Source organism: Homo sapiens, chromosome 3 (genome assembly GCF_000001405.40).
Source record: "Homo sapiens chromosome 3, GRCh38.p14 Primary Assembly".
Lineage (NCBI taxonomy): Eukaryota > Metazoa > Chordata > Mammalia > Primates > Hominidae > Homo > Homo sapiens.
The window spans coordinates 191,563,693-191,582,469 of record NC_000003.12 but is presented as its reverse complement, the minus strand read 5'-3'; the positions used below and the strand labels follow the sequence as shown (position 1 = coordinate 191,582,469).

General features: G+C 33.9%; 1 long non-coding RNA gene across 1 annotated transcript in view, besides 5 other annotated features; it reads right to left on the bottom strand.

Annotated features, from left to right (window-relative positions):
* PYDC2-AS1 (PYDC2 antisense RNA 1) overlaps window positions 1–18,777 on the bottom strand; it is a 164,833-nt gene that overhangs the window by 7,887 nt on the left and 138,169 nt on the right. Inside the window, exons 5-6 of the long non-coding RNA NR_120606.1 lie at window positions 12,646–12,870; window positions 8,996–9,156 (exon numbers count right to left, since the gene is read on the bottom strand). This is a non-coding gene — a long non-coding RNA (PYDC2 antisense RNA 1). The remainder of the gene's footprint in view (window positions 1–8,995; window positions 9,157–12,645; window positions 12,871–18,777) is intronic.
* Window positions 7,840–8,009: an enhancer, noted in NCBI's record as "experimental_67329 CRE fragment used in MPRA reporter constructs". NCBI's record gives its function as "activates a minimal promoter by MPRAs in K562 erythroleukemia cells, with activity observed for both the introgressed and non-introgressed 3:191292335 variant alleles {active_cell/tissue: K562}" and the evidence as "EXISTENCE:reporter gene assay evidence [ECO:0000049][PMID:34662402]".
* Window positions 8,918–9,087: an enhancer, noted in NCBI's record as "experimental_67312 CRE fragment used in MPRA reporter constructs". NCBI's record gives its function as "activates a minimal promoter by MPRAs in K562 erythroleukemia cells, with activity observed for the non-introgressed 3:191291257 variant allele {active_cell/tissue: K562}" and the evidence as "EXISTENCE:reporter gene assay evidence [ECO:0000049][PMID:34662402]".
* Window positions 10,344–10,513: an enhancer, noted in NCBI's record as "experimental_67266 CRE fragment used in MPRA reporter constructs". NCBI's record gives its function as "activates a minimal promoter by MPRAs in K562 erythroleukemia cells, with activity observed for the introgressed 3:191289831 variant allele {active_cell/tissue: K562}" and the evidence as "EXISTENCE:reporter gene assay evidence [ECO:0000049][PMID:34662402]".
* Window positions 11,638–11,807: an enhancer, noted in NCBI's record as "experimental_67247 CRE fragment used in MPRA reporter constructs". NCBI's record gives its function as "activates a minimal promoter by MPRAs in K562 erythroleukemia cells, with activity observed for both the introgressed and non-introgressed 3:191288537 variant alleles {active_cell/tissue: K562}" and the evidence as "EXISTENCE:reporter gene assay evidence [ECO:0000049][PMID:34662402]".
* Window positions 13,742–13,911: an enhancer, noted in NCBI's record as "experimental_67240 CRE fragment used in MPRA reporter constructs". NCBI's record gives its function as "activates a minimal promoter by MPRAs in K562 erythroleukemia cells, with activity observed for both the introgressed and non-introgressed 3:191286433 variant alleles {active_cell/tissue: K562}" and the evidence as "EXISTENCE:reporter gene assay evidence [ECO:0000049][PMID:34662402]".

The window sequence follows — 18,777 nt, the reverse complement described above, 5'->3', positions numbered from 1 at the left end:
CACTTATGTTTTCTGTTCTTTCATAGAACATACGACTGGGACAACATGAGAGAAACAGCTTTGTGGGTTTCTACATACTACAATACTGTGATTATTAAAAAGGAAAATGCAATACAAACAGTAGAAAGAACAAGTAGAACCTAAATGGTCTTCAACAGGGGTGCTAAAAAATTTGACTGCAGTAATTGTACAGGGTTTAGCTGAGCGTAACGTGACTGATTATCAGCTTTAACACAAAACATTTTCAGGCTTTTCTTAGTTGATGTGACTGTATCAAGGTGAGCACCTCCAATGTCAGCTCACAAAAGTTTTCACTGGCTGGGTGCAGTCACTCACACCTGTAATCTCAGCACTTTGGGAGGCTGAGGCAGGCAGATGACCTGAGGTCAGGAGTTCGAGACAAGCCTGGCCAACATGGTGAAAACCTGTCTCTACTAAAAAAATTTAAAAATTAGTTGGGGGAGGTGACAGGCACCTGTAATCCCAGCTACTAGAGAGGCTGAGGCAGGAGAATCGCTTGAACCCGGGAGGCGGAGGTTGCAGTGAGCCGAGATTGCGCCATTGCACCCTAGCCTAGGTGACAAGAACGAGACTCTGCATCAAAACAAACAAACAAAAAATATAGTTTTCATTTAGCATACATAGTGATTGTTTCTGCCTCAGGAATCATCATGTTCCAGGAAAATAAATAAGCCAGGTCTAGATATATCCTAAGAAATTTTGATAAGAAATAAGTAGCATCCTTAGTTCTGCTATGAAGATATTATTAATCTTATACTATATTTAATGAATAAAGTTATATATGAAGCTTTTGTGCCCTAGCATTTGTAGCATTGGTTGTGTTAATAATCAGGATAATTATTAGTGATAATTCTCAAGATAATATGCCAGGAACATTTCTAATTTTTTTAGTTTACTTTGAAACTAAAGTTGAATAAAGGACAAAATGGCCATTGTCACTGTGAAGAAACTTAATAATGGTTTTCTCCATCTGTAAAACATACTAACTTGCATTTTATTGTACTAATTTCTTTAATAATTATATAAAAATTATATAATTTACATTTATATGATAGCACATAATATCTGACTTTGGTTGGTTAAAACAACCTATCCAAAGTCAGATATTACGTGCCATTGTATAAATGTTTTTATCTAACTGTTACTATTTGTGTTGGTTATCATTAAATACCACATACAGAGTATGCTCAACAACTTAAAAACTAAACATAGAAAAATACAAGGACTTCCATTATTTTGCAATATGGCAAACTAAATATTAATTGAATCACTTCCCATAACCATACAACTAATTTTGATGAATAAAATGCGAAAACAACAAAAATCCTATGTACAGAATAGGCGAGAATTCTGTGAGTATTGGAGCTTGCATTAACCTGGAGTCAACTGTCCATCACTGATAGCCAAAAGCCTCTATTATAATCAGTGAACTGCACTGGAGAGAGGAGGTCAGTGACTATGGTGCTAGCAGAATGGTAGCTCAGTTAAGAGAAATTCAGAGAAAAATAAGACTTCTGAACAATCATAAGTCAAAGTAGGTTAAAACCTGACTGGAGAGAGTTAGCAGAGATGTGTTCACCTGTCTCTGATTCCAAGCAGAGCTAATCAAAAAATAAAATGTCTACTATGAAAATTCTTTAAGTATTATTTTGTTTATAATTGACACACGGTAATTGTACATATTTATGTGGTACAGCTTGATGTTTCATTGCATGTATACATTGTATAATAAAGATATTTAGCATATCTGTCATTTTAATTTATCATTTCTTTGTGGTGATAATATTTAAAATCCTCTCTTCTAGTTACCTTGAAATATACAATACACTATTAGTTATACTCACTCTACTGTGTAATAGAACACCATAACTTATTCTTCCTGACTAACTGCAACTCTGTACACACTGAGCAACCGCTCCCTCTTCCCCCCAACCCTCTATCTCTGATAAACTCTATTCTAACACTTTGTTTTGTTTTGTTTTGTTTTTTGAGACAGAGTCTTGCTCAGTCACCCAAGCTGGAGTGCAATGGTGCGATCTCAACTCACTGCAACCTCCCTGTCCCGGGTTCAAGTGATTCTCCTGCCTTAGCCTCCCAAGTAGCTGGGATTTCAGGCATGCGACACCAGGCCCACCTAATTTTTGTATTCTTAGTAGAGACGGGGTGTCATCATGTTGGCCAGGCTGATCTCCAACTGCTGACCTCAGGTGATCCACCCGCTTCAGCCTCCCAAAGTGCTGGAATTGCAGGAGTGAGCCACTGTGCCTGGCCTCTACTGTCTACACTTCTATGACAGTAACATTTTTAGATTCCATATATGAGTAATTTCATGCAGTGTTTTTGTCTATCCGGGCCTGGGTTATTTCGTTTAACATAATGCCCTCCAGTTTCATTCATGTTGCTGCGAATTTCTTTGAGAATTCTTAACAGCAAGGTTGCATGTATGAGTTTGGGGACAGATTTACCATCACCTTTGGGATAAAAATCTCCAAGTTGAAAATTTCATTTAAAGTGGTTCCAGGTTGGTATTACCCTCAGACTCCTAGAAAAGGTTAAAAAAAATCCAGAAGAATGTGTATTTTCAAAACAAGTCTCAAAAGAATTCACATAAAATTCTAAGTTATATGATAAGCCTAAAATTAATATATATATAAATAAGAGGAAAATATTTAAACATGTCTCTCCATATGAATTAGCAGAAACATAATGAAATGTTAAACCCATAAAGTCTGCAAGTATTAGAATTTCAAACAAGAATATAATGTTGATATGTTGAATATTATTTTTTTAAAAAAATGCTTTGAAAAATAAGGCCAAGTAAATCTGAAAAATAATAAAATGTAAAATGCAGACATTAATAACAGGGTTTAGAAACTCAATGCACAAAAAATACAGTACAGTAGAAACATTAGAAGACGTATCCTCCATGAGTAAAATGGTGAATAGTAGTAAAGTAATTAAACCAACTGCAGAACAGAAACTACATGAAAAATAGGAGAGATTGTAAGATATATTGAATAAGGTAAGAAGATTTAACATAATCTATTTTTAGAGTACCTTATGCTTTAGGAGGCTTAGGAGGGAGAATTGCTTGAGGCCAGGAGTGTGAAACCAGCCTGAGAAATATAGAGAGACCCTGTGTCTGCAAAAATAAAAATTAAAAAATTAGCAACACATGGCACACACCTACATTTCCAGCTACTCAAGAAGCCGAGGCTGGAGGATCGCTTGAGCCCAGAAATTTGAGGTTGCAGTGGCTGTGACTGCATCACTGCACCATTCCAGCCTGGGTGACAGAGCAAGGCCCTGTCTTTGGAAAAGAAAAAAAAGGTGGAGGGAGTGGGGAGAAGAAGCAATAATTAAAAAACATAGCAGAGAGTTTGATGACTGACAGAAAAAAATCATGCCTCAAATTGGTTACATAAATAATTCAAAAAGTAGATATTTTTTAAAAATCCAAATTAGAATATAGTAAAATACCAAAGACAAAATTAAAAGCAGTCAGTGACAAAATGTAGACTAACTGTAAAAGGTCTATAATTAGATATTGGCAACACTAAAATTCAGAAGATAATGTGATTATATCATTACCGTGATTAGCTAAAAATATTTAAAAAGTAATCTTGGAAAATCTATACCCAGTGAAATTATCTTTCAGTAATGAGGATAAAATAAAAGTATTTTTAGGCACACACAAAGTAAAAACATATTCTATCAATAAACTCTAAAAGAACTTCTAGAGAAATTCTTTATTTTAAAAAAGTAATTCCAAAGGAAGGTCAAAGGTTCGAGAAAAAATACTGAATGAAGAAAATATTATATCAGTCAAACTTAAGGCAGAAATTAATTATATTAAACAACAGTAACAGTATGCAGTTTAAAAATTAATTAACATATATATAAATCATGACCAGAAAAGTAAAATAGTGTCAAGTGAGAGGAATTCTTATACGGATAAACTGAATATAATTCTTGTTGTTAGCTTTAGAATTTATTAAAATGTATATATTAATTTAAAAAATTATAGAAAAACTACTAAAATATAGATTTGATATAAACTCTAAACCAGTAGGTGGAAAAATTACAATGACTGAAAAAAAAGAGAAAGAAAAAATACCCTCACATGGACAGACAGAATTTATAAACAAATCATAATCAATGTAGGGCTAAAGTAAATATTGTATTAAAATAAAAATAAAAATTGTCAGACTGTATTTTAAGAATATATTTTTTAAAAGTATTTCTATACAGAAGAGAAAAAACACATGAGGCAAATTCAAGCAAAATAAATATATTGGATGTGTCTATATTAATATCAGATAAAAGGTACTTTAAATCAAACTACCAATAAACAGAGTAATCAGATATTGAGAAAAGATTCAATTCACCAGAAAGATCATAAAGTTGAATGAAACTAACAACAAAGTTTTGAAACTTATAAAAAAGAAAATTTATGGAATCCCAAGAAAACGAAAAATTTATCATCATGAGAGGTTTTAACATATCTCTGTCAGATATTAATGAAAAAATAAGAGATTAAATTAATAAGTGGAGGATTTGAAAAATTCAGTAGAATTTTCTGTGTCTTTTTTCCCCCACTCCCTCTAGAAATCCAGTTACGATGATTGTAACGGAATAAATGGAATGAACCTATCACCTGAAAACAATGGGAGACATTACCTATAGTGAATGAGGTAATTTAACGAATTTATGGAAGACAGAATGCGAAAGTGATAGGACAGATAGAATCACAGAAGTAACAGACTAAACTATACATAAGGGAAAATGTAATGGGAGAAAGGAGATCATTTTCCAGACAGAAACCCAGAGATGCCCAAGCATAAAAGTTCACAGGTACAGAGAAAGTCCAACAGAAAACAGGAAGTTAATTTAAAGACTCCCTAAAAAACCTGTCTCTGACTTAAAAAAAAATATTAAAAGTCTTTCATTATAGTTTTGCAACTATAAATGTTCTCCATTATTAATTTAGAAACAGTTAACCTAAAAAAGATATGCAGAAAAAGCATACTGTGAACAACATAGTTAATGATAATTTTTAAAAAGTATTTCATGAAAATAGAAAAAAAGAAAAGATACTGCTCATAAAATTATAGCTCATACAACTGTCTTTTACCCTTTTGCTAGCTAGATATGCTGAGGCATAAAATTACAAATCCACATTTCCTTGCAACTACTTATGTGAATGTAAAATGGAATCTGTAAATTCTTTTTTCTGTGTCTTTAAAGTACTACTGCAGCCGGTGGCATCTTCTTGATCAGTTGTGGTTTTAGAAATAGTACTCCTATGTGGAGGCAGTTTTGCCTTGTTCTGAGTGGCAGGCCTGAAGGCCTAACCTGCAACCTAGACCGGCAGTCCTTTTAGTGATTTTCTGACTTGCCATATCCTTTAATCAAATTCCTTCCTTCTTAAAGTACTTGTAGAATTTTCTGTTCACTATAGTTATTCTTGACTGATAAAGGTATCCACTATTACTGCTTCTCACTAACTTTTTTTATTTGAATATCTTAGCCAATACAATAAGATCAGAAAAAAGAAATAAAACATATGAGTAACAGAAAGGAAGTAAACTATTATTAGGTGCAAATAATATGATTGTGTATATCTATGTCCCTTAAATCAAGCTTGTTCATTGGGTGGTATAAAATCCTCATTCTCACTGAATGTTGTCAGTAAGGTCAATTACTGTAAAAGCAGGGCATATTAATGACCCCATTTTAGTGGTATACTTGCCTACCTGTCCTTGTAGTAGGATCACTGCAACTCAGCAGAAATATGATTTAGAGTGCTCAGAGTATTTTGATAAAAATACTTTGTTGCCAATATGGTGAAACCCTATCTCTGCTAAAAAATACAAGAATTAGCTGGGCATGGTGGCAGGCACCTGTAATCCCAGCTACTCGGGAGGCTGAGGCAGGAGAATCACTTGAACCTAGAAGGCAGAGGTTGCAGTGAGCTGAGATGGCGCCACTACACTCCAGCCTGGGCAACAGAGTGAGACTCCATCTTAAAAAACAAAACCTAATAAACAACAACAACAACAAAACAACACATTGTTTTTAATTGTCTAAACTTTTTTTTTTTTTTTTTTTTTGAGATGGAGTCTTGCTCAGTCGTGAAGCGATTCTCCTGCCTCAGCCTCCCGAGTAGCTGGGATTACAGGCACCCGCCGCCACGTCCAGCTAATTTTTGTATTTTTGGTAGAGATGGATTTTCATCATGTTGGCCAGGCTGGTCACGAACTCCTAACCTCAAGCGATCCACCCGCCTCAGCCTCCCAAAGTGCTGGGACTACAGACCTAAGACAATGCTACTGGAGGGTCTGAATATTTTTATAAAAATTAGTCTTGGTACACCATTTTGGATTTTTTTTTCTCTCAACATTTTGAAAATGTTATTCTATGTTTGGGTTTCCATTGTTGCTATTAAGAAGTCAGCTAGCAATCTATTATTTGTTAATAGCAATCTTTTTTTTCTCTCATCAGACTTTTAAGAACATTGCCTTTTTCGATTCCTCAGGGATCTAGAACTAGAAATACCATTTGACCCAGCCATCCCATTACTGGGTATATACCCAAAGGACTATAAATCATGCTACTGTAAAGACACATGCACACGTATGTTTATTGCGGCATTATTCACAATAGCAAAGACTTGGAACCAACCCAAATGTCCAACGATAGACTGGATTAAGAAAATGTGGCACATATACACCATGGAATACTATGCAGCCATAAAAAATGATGAGTTCATGTCCTTTGTAGGGACATGGATGAAACTGGAAATCATCATTCTCAGTAAACTATCGCAAGGACAAAAAACCAAACACCGCATATTCTCACTCATAGGTGGGAATTGAACAATGAGAACACATGGACACAGGAAGGGGAACATCACACTCTGGGGACTGTTGTGGGGTGGGGGGAGAGGGGAGGGATAGCATTAGGAGATATACCTAATGCAAAATGACGAGTTAATGGGTGCAGCACACCAGCATGGCACATGTATACATATGTAACTAACCTGCACATTGTGCACATGTACCCTAAAACTTAAAGTATAATAATAATAATAATAAAAGAACATTGCCTTTTTAATTATTTAGTTTTATTACAATGTGACGATAGGAATTATTTTTTATGTATCCTACTATGATTCATTTGGTTTCCTGAGTCAAATGATTGTGTTTTGTAAAAATTTATGGCAAATTTTTTAGGCATCATTTGTTCAAATATAGCTGTCTTCATTTCTTCAATTTTTAAAATTCAGGTAATTCAATTATGCTAGATTTTCTTATTCTCTTCTTTATGTTTCCTAATGTTTCATGCTTTCTATTTCTTTGTTTTTCTGTTATATAGTCTGATTAAGTTCTTGAATATATTTTCCAGTACATTCTTTCCTCAGTTGAATTAAAACTACTGATAATTCCACATATTGAATTATTTAAATTATTTTATTATTTTTCACTTTCAGAAATCTTATTTAGTATTTTTTCAAAGACATTTTGTCATTTTCATTGTCATATATTACTTCATGATTTCAAACTGCGTTAAATTTGATTTTATGTCTATCAATTATTGAAGATGTTTTCTCTTTCTATCCAATGTCAAGTTGAGACAGAAATTCCTCATATCTATTCTGGATATGAGATTTGTCCCTTGTCCTCTGTACTTCTTGAGGTCATTAAAATCTAAGCTCAGCTTTCTTTGGTTTGGCAAACACCCTCAGGTAACAACCTGCTTCAGTTCTCTGCTTATAACTCTGAGTTTCTACTTTCAATTATTTTTTGGCATCTAAAAATTTCTATCTTTCTTGCAAGATTGTCTGTGTTTTGAGAGGAATGGGTTTGTAAGAGTATTTTATCAGCAATTGCAATTGATTTCAACGAGTTTGTTCGGTTATCAAGTCTATCATACCATCTGAATCAATAATTGATTTTTTCTTGTTTATTACTTCTTTCCCCAAATGGAATGAGGTAGAAGGAAAGTCTGGTACTTGGCCTGTCTTAATCAGCATTATATCTTGTGCATATAAAACAGTTTCTGATATGTATTAATATTTATTGAGTAAATACAAATTATAAGTATTTCCAGTTCATTTATTTTAATATTTATTTACATTATATGATTTCAATAAAATATAGAAAATTATTAACAATTACTATAACCTCTAAGTGTATTTATAATACTTTTATGCATTTCCTCATTTTTCAACTGTGAGTATGCATTAGTCTTTAGTAAGAAGATATTTTTTAAGAATTAAATATGTCATATGATAAATATATTTTAAAATTGCTAACTACCCAAAGAAAAAAGTTACAGGTAATAAAACTACAAGTTAACAGTAGCTATCTATGGGTGGTAATGTATAGGTTGTTCGTTTTTTAAAATTTATTCCATCTTTAAAATGTTCTACAATTAAATTAAACAATTTTGTTCAATAAACAAAATGTTTAATTCCATAGACATTCTATATGGCCTAGAGGCAATTATTTTCTTTAAAATCCTATGTAAAATTTAAACATCTATTTTTAAACTAAAATATATTAATTGATTAATATATGTCTGACTAATGCTAAGTACCTTATATATATTGCATCCATTTTTACAAACCAATAAAATATTTTATGCATAATGAAATTAAATACAGTTAAGGAACTTTCCAGGGACATACATGTACGTAAAAAATTGTAATAGCAGATAAATGACAACTGCCAGGTAAGACATAGAGCTGAAACCCTTAGACAGTCTGTGACTTTTATGGAATGTCAAAGCCATGTCTTTAAATATCGCCCTAAACTTCCTCACCCCCTCTGAAGAAGTAGTGTTCCTATCTATAAAACATCAATGAAATTTCATTAAAGAAGCAGTACTCTGGCTGTATTAGTTTGCTAGGGCTGTTATAACAAAATAACACAGACTGGGCAGCATAAGCAACAGAAATTTATTTTCTTACAGTTCTGGAGATTAGAAGTCTGAGTCCAGGGTGTAAGAAGGGTTGGTTTCTTCTGAGGCCTGTCTCCTTGGCTTGTAGATGGCCACCTTCTTGCTGTATCCTCACATGGTATTTATTCGGCGATCATGCACCACGGCTGTCTCCCCATTTGTCACTCTCCTCTAATAAGGACATAAGTCATAGTGAATTAGGACCTACCGGAATCACCTCATTTTAACTTAGTTACATGTGTAAAGATCCTGTCTCCAAATACAGTCATATTTTGAGATACTGGGGGCTAGGACTTCAACATATAAATATTTAGAGTAAGATATTTCAGCCTAACACTGCCATACTGAAGTAAGTGGACAAAAATGTAGTTCTATGTTAATAATAGCACTCTATAATAACTTGAAGCTAAAAAAGACAAAATCCTTGCAAATCTGTAGAATACAGTCTTTGATTAATAGATATGGATATTTTTGGCTTGATTATGTTGGCATTTTCCCAATATATGGTTATAATTTGTTGTCATGAATATTTGTGGTAATTTAGTAGTTAAATTCAATAAGGAGCTATTGTGTTCCAGGTACCATGGGACATTTCTAATAAGAATCTTTGATGCAACACTAAAGAGGCTTACAATATTACTAGTGTGGGAAGAGGGACCAGAAAAGACGTATATTAAATATTGTAATAGCAGAGAAAGCATTCAATAAACGGCAGCTGTCAAGTAAATGATATAGGAGAGATACACAGCACATTGGATTTTAAAAAGAATTGATTTCATTTTAGGGGCAATATAATATTGGTGTGCTTATTATTTTAATTGTGTGGTGGTTTGGACCCTTTTTCTCTCTGATTTAAGCATATGAGGTAAACGTCAACATAACTTTTGGGAAGATGATGGTTTTGTTCAGACATTATTAAAATCTATTTGAAAACATTTAATGTTTTGGTGGTATCTGATCATGTGACAAAGAAGGAGATGCTTTATAAATTAATCTTATAGAACAGAGTAACATTTCCCTTAGTATCTCTTAAAAAAACTAAACAAGAAGGAAAATGATTTCAGTCACATAAATAATATATCAATTCAAAAAATTCAAGGGTAAGATATTATGGTTTTTAGAGATACAAAAAAGCAACAAAAGCTAGATAACTAAAGTAAGTGCAAGACACGATATAAAAATAGGAAGGATTATGAATTAGTATTTTAAACAAGGGAAATATTGTCTTTCAAAATTTGTCTCAAATGGTGTGCTTGACAATGTCTTAATCGCATAAATATCATACTAGTGCAACGCTAAAGCAATCGAAGATGCCAATAAATTCTAAATCTCAGGGAAATTTCTGAGAAGCTGCCAGTGGAACTCTCATAATACGTGTAATCTATTTCAGATTTAGTCGGTTGATAGAAATCAACTGATATAGAGAGGTCTATTTTATTATACCTATATGTCTGCTTTCCTACTTTATGTCCTCCTTTGATTAATGCTATTGTGATTTTTATGCTTTAGAACAAAACAGAAGAAATCGATGTTTTTTTTGTACTTTAAAAGCAGTGGTTCTTAAATTGAGTAAAAGTCCCCTTTAGGAATTTAACAAAAGCTTAGACTTTTAGAAATATTTATTCATTGACTTATTCCTTCAATACACATGTTGAATTCCTATTATGTGTTAGGTATTATTTGAAGCATTATGAATACAGCAACAAATTGAAAAGACAAGATATCTTATAGTAATAGGAACAAAGCCAGTCAAAAATAAAATAAAAAGGTTATTGCAGGTTATGATAATGTAATGAAAGAAATAAGCAAGTTAATCAGACATGGAGACTAATTGTAGGATAACTGTTGTAGCTAGTGTTTCAAGGAAGGCATCTCTGAGAATTTTATCTTTGAGCTGAAACCTGAAAGGTGAGGAGAACTCCAGGCAGAGGGAAGAACAGCTTCAAGCACCCGAGGGTGAGAAGGACTGGATATATTCAAGAAACAGAAAAGACAGCTGCAGTCACACCATAATGAGTAGAAGAAAAAGTACAAGTATGGAGCTTAAGTAGGGAGCACAGTGTTTCAAGTCTTGAAGACAGCAGTAAGTAACCTGGGGCTCAACTGAAGCTTAATGAGGTGCTTCTGACAGTGTATAGGCATAATCCTATTAATATTTCAAAAAGATAATTCTCTTTGTTGTGTGGAGGGTCAATAGAAGAAGCAAGAAGATCATTAAGTAAATGATTTTAACCCATCAGACATGGGAGGATTGTAGCTGGGGGTTAAGGTGGTGGCTATAAAAATAAATATAACTGGAAAGATTTAGAATGGCAGAGATAACCAGGGGATTTTCTGGATTAAATTTGGAAGATGAGACAAAGGAGTGATCAAGATAATGTCTAGTTTTTAGTCTGTAGCAAATATGTGATAGTGATGGTACTTCCATATATAAAGATAAAACAACCTGGTAGAAAAGAGAATCAGGAATTTCTATTTTGCATTTATTGAGACATATAGATACATAATAATATCTATGTACAAAAAACCCTCAATAAGTCTACAAAACAACTGCTAGAACTAATGAATGAGTCTAACAAGGTTACAGGATAAAGGGTTAATATTAAAAATGTTTTCTACTTGTATATGTTGGCAGTAAATAACTAGAAAACAGTATTTGCTCAAAATCCATTCATGATAGCACTAAAATTCATAAAATACTTAGATAAATACAATAGAATAAACAAAGATCTCACACTAAATATTATAAATATTCTTGTGAGAAATTGAAGGTCTAAATAAATGGGATGATATATTACATTCAAGGATTGAAAGTCTCAATATTGTTAAATGTCAATTACTCAAAAATTATCTATGCTTTCCATGCAGTTCCAATAAAAATCCCATAGGTTTTTTTTGGCAAACTCTACAAGCTGATTCTACAATTTATATGGAAGTTCAAATAACTTAGCATTACCTCGCTAAGCACTTTCTTTAAAAGAAGAACAAAGTTAGAATAATTACCATACTTGATTTCAAGACAAAATAAAGCTTACAGAAATCAAGACACTTTAGGAGTGGCAAAAGTTTAAAGACATAGAGGGATGAGACAAAGTCACAAGTTCAGAAATAGACCCACACATATTTAGTTAATTGATTTTTTTTACAAAGGCACTAAGACAATTCAATAATGAAAGAAAATACTTCTCAATAAATGTGGCTGGAACAATTAAATTTCTAAATGGAAGTAAGATAAGAGATTCGTATCTCATGCCATACACTGGAAATGGATTACAGACTTAGATGTAAATCCTAAAATTATAAAATTTCTAGAGAGGTTAAGAAACGTTTTCTTAGAACACGAATATTATTAACCACTATAAAAACATTAATAAATTGTTTAATCACAATTTGTTCTCCTTGGAAGCACGGTTAATAAAATCAAAAGGCAACCCACAGACTGCGAGATAATATTCACAACACATATGCCAGATGATATAAAGAACCCTTAAAATTCAAAAATGAAAACTGGAAACACTGTATAAGAGGTTCTGTCAATCGAAATATGGAAAGTAAAAGCAATAAAACATACAAAGTTAGGAAATAAGAAGTAAAACTCTCCCTTACGGAGACAAAATTTTGCATATGTAAAACATAAACCCAATAAGTTTACATACTCACCAACGCTTGATTTTTTTCGGTCTTCAATCCTTGCCATTCTGAAAATGTATAGCGCCATTCATTATGGCTTTAATTTGCATTTCACTGATGACTAATGGTGTTCAGAATCCTTTCAAGTGCTTAGCGGCCATTTGTATGTCTTCTTTTCTGATGTGTCTGTTCAAATCTTTTGCCCTCTAATATACTGCTAGTGAGAATTACAGACACTTGTAAAGGTGGGGGTCACTGTAGAAAGAGAAAGTGTTTGAAGCATCCAGTGTTTTTTTTTCACAAAACAAAAACAACAAAATTAAAACAGGTTAAGAAAAAAGAAATTCCTTTATATCCCAGCTCAAATATAATCTTTGTTTTCATTTCTTTGCTACTCATCTTTTTCACAAAATTAGAAAGTACATTCCCTGTTCTATCTTTTGAACACCTACTATGTGTCATCATCTTGCTAACCAACATAGTTAAAAGCAGTAGCCAAGACAGCAGGTCCTGGTTGTTTTGGGACTTAGAATCTGTATGTTTTCAAAATACATAGTTGATATTTCTATTAGAGCATATTTACGGTATTTTACGCTTAGCATTTTTCTGTCTTCCCCATGAGGTTGCTAGTTGATTACTGAAAGGTTATATGTTAACTTGTTTTATTCCACAACACCCAGCATAGTTCTTTGCACACACACTAGGTACAGGGAAAGAAGGAGGAAGGGAGGGAGGGAAGAGGAAAGAGGAAAATGATAATCCATTTCATTTACTCTTTTACTTATTTGAATACTTCTCAGAATCTGAGATAAACAATGTTTCTATAAGATTACGAAGCCAGCACAGTTTAAAGAAAAATAAATCTCCCAAAAAGCTAATGTTGGACATTGAGTTCATATTGAGGTATAATTATCCAGTTAATTTGACATTTATCTGGAAGACTGGCTACCGAGCTGAAAGCCAGTTTAGACAATATTAGCAGCTATTTCATGGAGATTTTCACAAGTGCTGGTTTGTGCCTGCATGTGTGAAATTCCTGCTGTGAAGTTGACTTCAGGACCAGATTTCAAGATCAATCTGTTCCATGTGCAACATCCCAGCTGGAGTACTGTCTTCTGAAGCCAATCTTTCAGCCAAGTGCTTAAGTGAAGGACTAGGTTGAAGAATCTAGGTTGAACGCCTGACTTAGTCACCTCTCAGCCTCCAAAACCGGAGCTAGCAACATGGACTGCGTGTGGATTCCATACCATGGTTACACACAAAACCCAACCCCTGAGTCTGCCTTGTGACCCCTTCTTAATATTCCCAGAAATATTCTCTTTCGAGGTGATAGAGTTTGCATATTTGTCCTCTCAAAATCTCATGTTGAAATTTGATCTCAGAATTAGAGGTGGGGCCAATGAGAGGTGTTTGAGTCATGGGGCACATCCCTTAAGAATGGCTTGGTGCCGAGATCATGAGTTCTTGTCTTATTGGTTCCCTCGAGATCTGATTGTTAAAAATAGCTTGGCACCTTTCTCCTCCTGCCTCTTTCTCACGCTCCATCTCTTATCACGTGACACGCAGGCTCCGCATTTTTTGGACCATGATTGGAAGCTTCCTGCAGTCCTCACCAGAAGCAGATGCTGGCACCATGTTTCTTGTACAGGCTGTGGAAGCATAAGCCAAATATACCTCTTTTATTTATAAATTACCAGCCTTAGGTATTCCTTTATGGTAAGGCAAAATGGACTAAGACATTTGGTGTTCTGGAATTAATAAGAGAGAGAGGATCTGCTTGCAGCACATTCCTGACCACTGATATTTGAGTGCTTTACAGTGTTGCCTCACAATTAAAGTCATAATTGAAACAGAAAGAACCAGGTAGCCACAGCTTCAGAAATCACAAAATACAGACAAAATACTACTACTAATAAAAATAACAACCATAATTTTTTCTACTTTATAATGTTCTAATCATATATATATAAATATAAATTCGTAAGATAAAAGTGCTGCTAGGAGAGCAGAGGAGCACTTAAGTCACAGTAGTGCAGCAATTCAGAGCTAGAACAATCCTTTTTTCCCGAGTTTAACTTCATTTTAAAGATGAAGAAAGGAGCTTGAATGAGATTACAAATTTTATTGTATTATATAAATCATTTAAAACACTACCTTTACTACAGAAACATTAACAGTGATTTCACCAGTAAAAGGGACAGGCTAAACTAGTTCTGCAAGAGAGGTTAACCTGGGTTATACTTTTTTTTTTCTCTAAAACCTTTGCCATTACTGTTTCCTCTGCCTGGAAATACATTTTTTTTTAGATACGTACCTAGCTTAATACCTCACCTCTTTTATGTTCCTGCTCAACAAATGTCACTTTGCTGGTAGGACTTCTCTAATCATCTATTCCAAAATTGCAACCCCTGTCACTTTCTATTCCTTTTCTCCATTTTACTCACTTGATAATGCTTATCACATCCTAATATCATACTTTGCATGTATTTCCTTACCTGTTTATTTCCTATTTCCTCCTCTAGTATGTAAGTGTCGATGGCAGGAACTTTGTCTTCCTGGTGCCTTCTAACAGTGCCTGGCATGGATTAAGCACTTAGTAATTGCATGGGGGATTGATGGATAGATGAGTTTTCTCAGGAGCTCATGAAAGTCAAGCTCCTTCTTGTACTCCATCACTATCTCCATATTGCCCCATGCAAACACACACACACACACACACACACACACACAGCACCTACACTAACACACATGCACATGCAACCACCACACATAACACAAGAATTTTTGTCTTTACCAAATTCAGCAAGCTCTAAGCCGCAAGATCTCCACTAGGTTCTGCTCATTTGGGTGCAGTATGTTAAGGAAGGAAAATGGGCTCACGATTTGGTCATAGCCTTCAAAGAACCTATTGTCTGGTTATAATGAATTGGAGAAAAGTTCATCCGACACATTGACTGTTTACGATGTTTGAGGACACAGAAATATAAACTATTATATTTTGCCTTATGGCACCTTGAGTGTCTGGAAAGCTTTCAGGAAAAGGGAAATGAGCAGCATCCCAACCAGTAGACAAAGATGTATAAAGGCATTCCACATAACAGAATCTGCAAAAAATGACATAAAGGGATGAGAATGCAAGGCATGTACAGAAACAATGTCCAACTTTCTAAAGGACTGAATACATTAGGGGCAAGTTCACTGAATGAACATGTTGGTTCCAGTTTGTGGCATGATTTGAATGCCATTGGTAAACTTTTGGAATTTATTCTCTTGGTGATGGGAAGCTATTTATGGTTTTGCTTGGGGGAGAAACATTAAACAGCGATCTTAAAATGTTTGTTTACTATCAGGCATCATGCTAAAATGTAATATGCATAACCTTGCTTAAACCTTGCAATAAGTCAGAGAATAAGATTGTAAAATTGAGGAAACAGATTTTCAAAAAAGATAAATAAGATGAAAAGGTAAAACAGCTTGAAAGTACAAGAAATAGTTTAAAAACAGCTTCATCCATGTCCCTACAAAGGACATGAACTCATCATTTTTTATGGCTGCATAGTATTCCATGCTGTATATGTGCCACATTTTCTTAATCCAGTCTATCATTGTTGGACATTTGGGTTGGTTCCAAATCTTTGCTATTGTGAATAGTGCCACAATAAACATACGTATCCTAATTTTGGGTTCCAGGTTTACTCCAGTCCACCTGCCTGATTAAATCTGCTATTTAAAACATTTCTTTGGAACCATTATTTATGAGATACTTTAGTGAAACAAAAAATCCAGTTATCGAGTTCATATAGGAATTTTCTGCAAAAAAAGAAAAAAAAACATGAAATAACGAGGGCCTGAACTAGAACACGGGATGGAAATAAAAGGACAGATGGGATAGGTTGTGTGAAGTTATTACAGAGACCACTGGACAACTGGGCATTTTCCCTCTGGGCTTGTTTAATTTTGAAGAAGAAAATAAATACTAAATTTCATTTTATTATTATTAATTTATATGGTCAACTAACTTAAGGGAAGAAAAATTAAAATAGCAGTAGAATATAAAACCAAGTGCCAATAAAGGCTTTTAAAAGAATGGATACTATCATATATTTTCTTCTTTCTTTTCTAAAAATAAACGAGAAATAAAAGCTTTCAATGTTTTTAGGTTTTTGAATCCACCCACTTACACCTGTTCAGAAACATCTGTTTTCCTATAAAATGGAAACCAGAAAAAATCAAAAGGCCAGCTAGTAATAATATATGGTGAAGAGAAAAAACTTCTTTCTTAGTTTATTTAGTTTTTTTGTGTGTTTGTTTTTGATTTTTAGGATATATCTTTAAAACTAAACTGCACATGATTGATTAGGTATCAATATGGGGATCTCCCCCATTATGCTTTGGATTCCTGGCACTCTCTTACTTGTTAATGTCGTTAGCACATCACTTATTTTCATATGGTTTTAGAGATACGTGGTTATTCTGGGTATTTCATGGTGTTAATTTACTAAGATTTGGATATATAGAGAATAAATTCCATTATCTTAGAATACAGCTAAAACTCATGGCATCTTTTATTTTGGAACTGCAATGACCCTAAGCACATCTAAATTAATTATAATCTAGCACAACAATGAATCTTAGCAAGGTACTGTCTGGCTAAGAAGATGATACATCTGACTTGAGAAATAAATAAGGAGACAAGCCATACTTAAAATAGGGAAGAGACTATCCCAGACAAAGTTAACAATAAGGGAGAAGATTCTGAAACTAAACCAAGCCTGGAATTTTCAATGGATAGAATAAAGTCCAGTGTGTCTGAAGCCAGAGAAGATGAGAGAAACAATGAAAGAGGAGCTGGAAACGACGGCAGAAACAAGATCAGGCTTGCTTTGGAGGTCATGAAGAAAATATTCCATTTACAATGGGAATTCATTGGAGTGTTTTAATTGAGAGTAACAGATCCAATTTACATTTTAAAAAGTTTACACTGATGTCTCTAGATGATGAAAGTAGGAGTTCAGGGATTGAAGCAAGGACATCAGTTAAACAACTTTAACAATTCCAGATAAGAAACAATTGAAATCTTGGGCCGGAGCATTGGAGATGATAGAAAGTGTTCATAGCTGGGATACAGAGTAGAAGAATAACAGATTTGGGTATAAATGAGCACGGAGTTTATGTCACTGAATTTACATTCAATTAGTCTACGTTGTGTAGAATTTATTTTTTAAATCGTGAAGAATAATCGGTGATATTTTTAACAATGATTAAATGAATGAAGCTAAAAACTGGAATTTCTCTATTTGGTACACATTGGTTTTTAGAACCAGGCTATTAAGCCATTTAATTTAATTTTTTGAGACAGGGTCTTACTCTGTCGCCCAGCCTGGAGTGCAGTGGCACAATCACGGCTCACTGCAGCCTTGATTTCCCAGGCTCAGGTGATTCTCCCACCTCAGCTGGGACTACAAATGTGTGCCACCACGCCCAGCTAATTTTTATATTATTTGTAGGGACAGAGTTTTGCCATGTTGCCCAGGCTGGAATAAAGCCATTTTAATTCATAAAAGGACACTGACAATATTCCATTTATACCAAACACAATTGTTTATTCACATGATTTATTTTTTATAAAACTTCTGAATATCTTACTGTGTCATTTATCTGCTCTTAAACTCATTGAATTATGTTATTTTAGCAGAGGTTTTATTTAAGGAACGTGTCACATACAAAAATTTCAAGAAAAATAGATAATTACGCAAAGAAATGTTTAAGAGTTAATTTTCGATGTACATGAGTTTAGGTTTTCCTGTACATTAGTAAAATGTAACTGAACCATTTGATAGTAAACATGGCCAATACTTCCAAGCCTAATTTCAACTAGAGAAATGCCTGTTTGGTTGGAATTGTGTGAACCGTTTACATTTTCTGCTGACGTATGTTCAAATTCAAGTGGTGTTTGTGTAATGAGATAGTCCACCTTAAGCACTAATAATGGTTTGCTACACGATCATCATCATAACAATGTTGTAATTTATCACACCTGCCATTGACGAACTCTTAAGAATTTCACAAACAGCCCCTCGTTAATCTACTCACTTAGCTCCTTTCCCCTTGAAAGCTTCTAAGCAATTTAAGAAATTATGCAGCAACTATGGGAAAGAGATT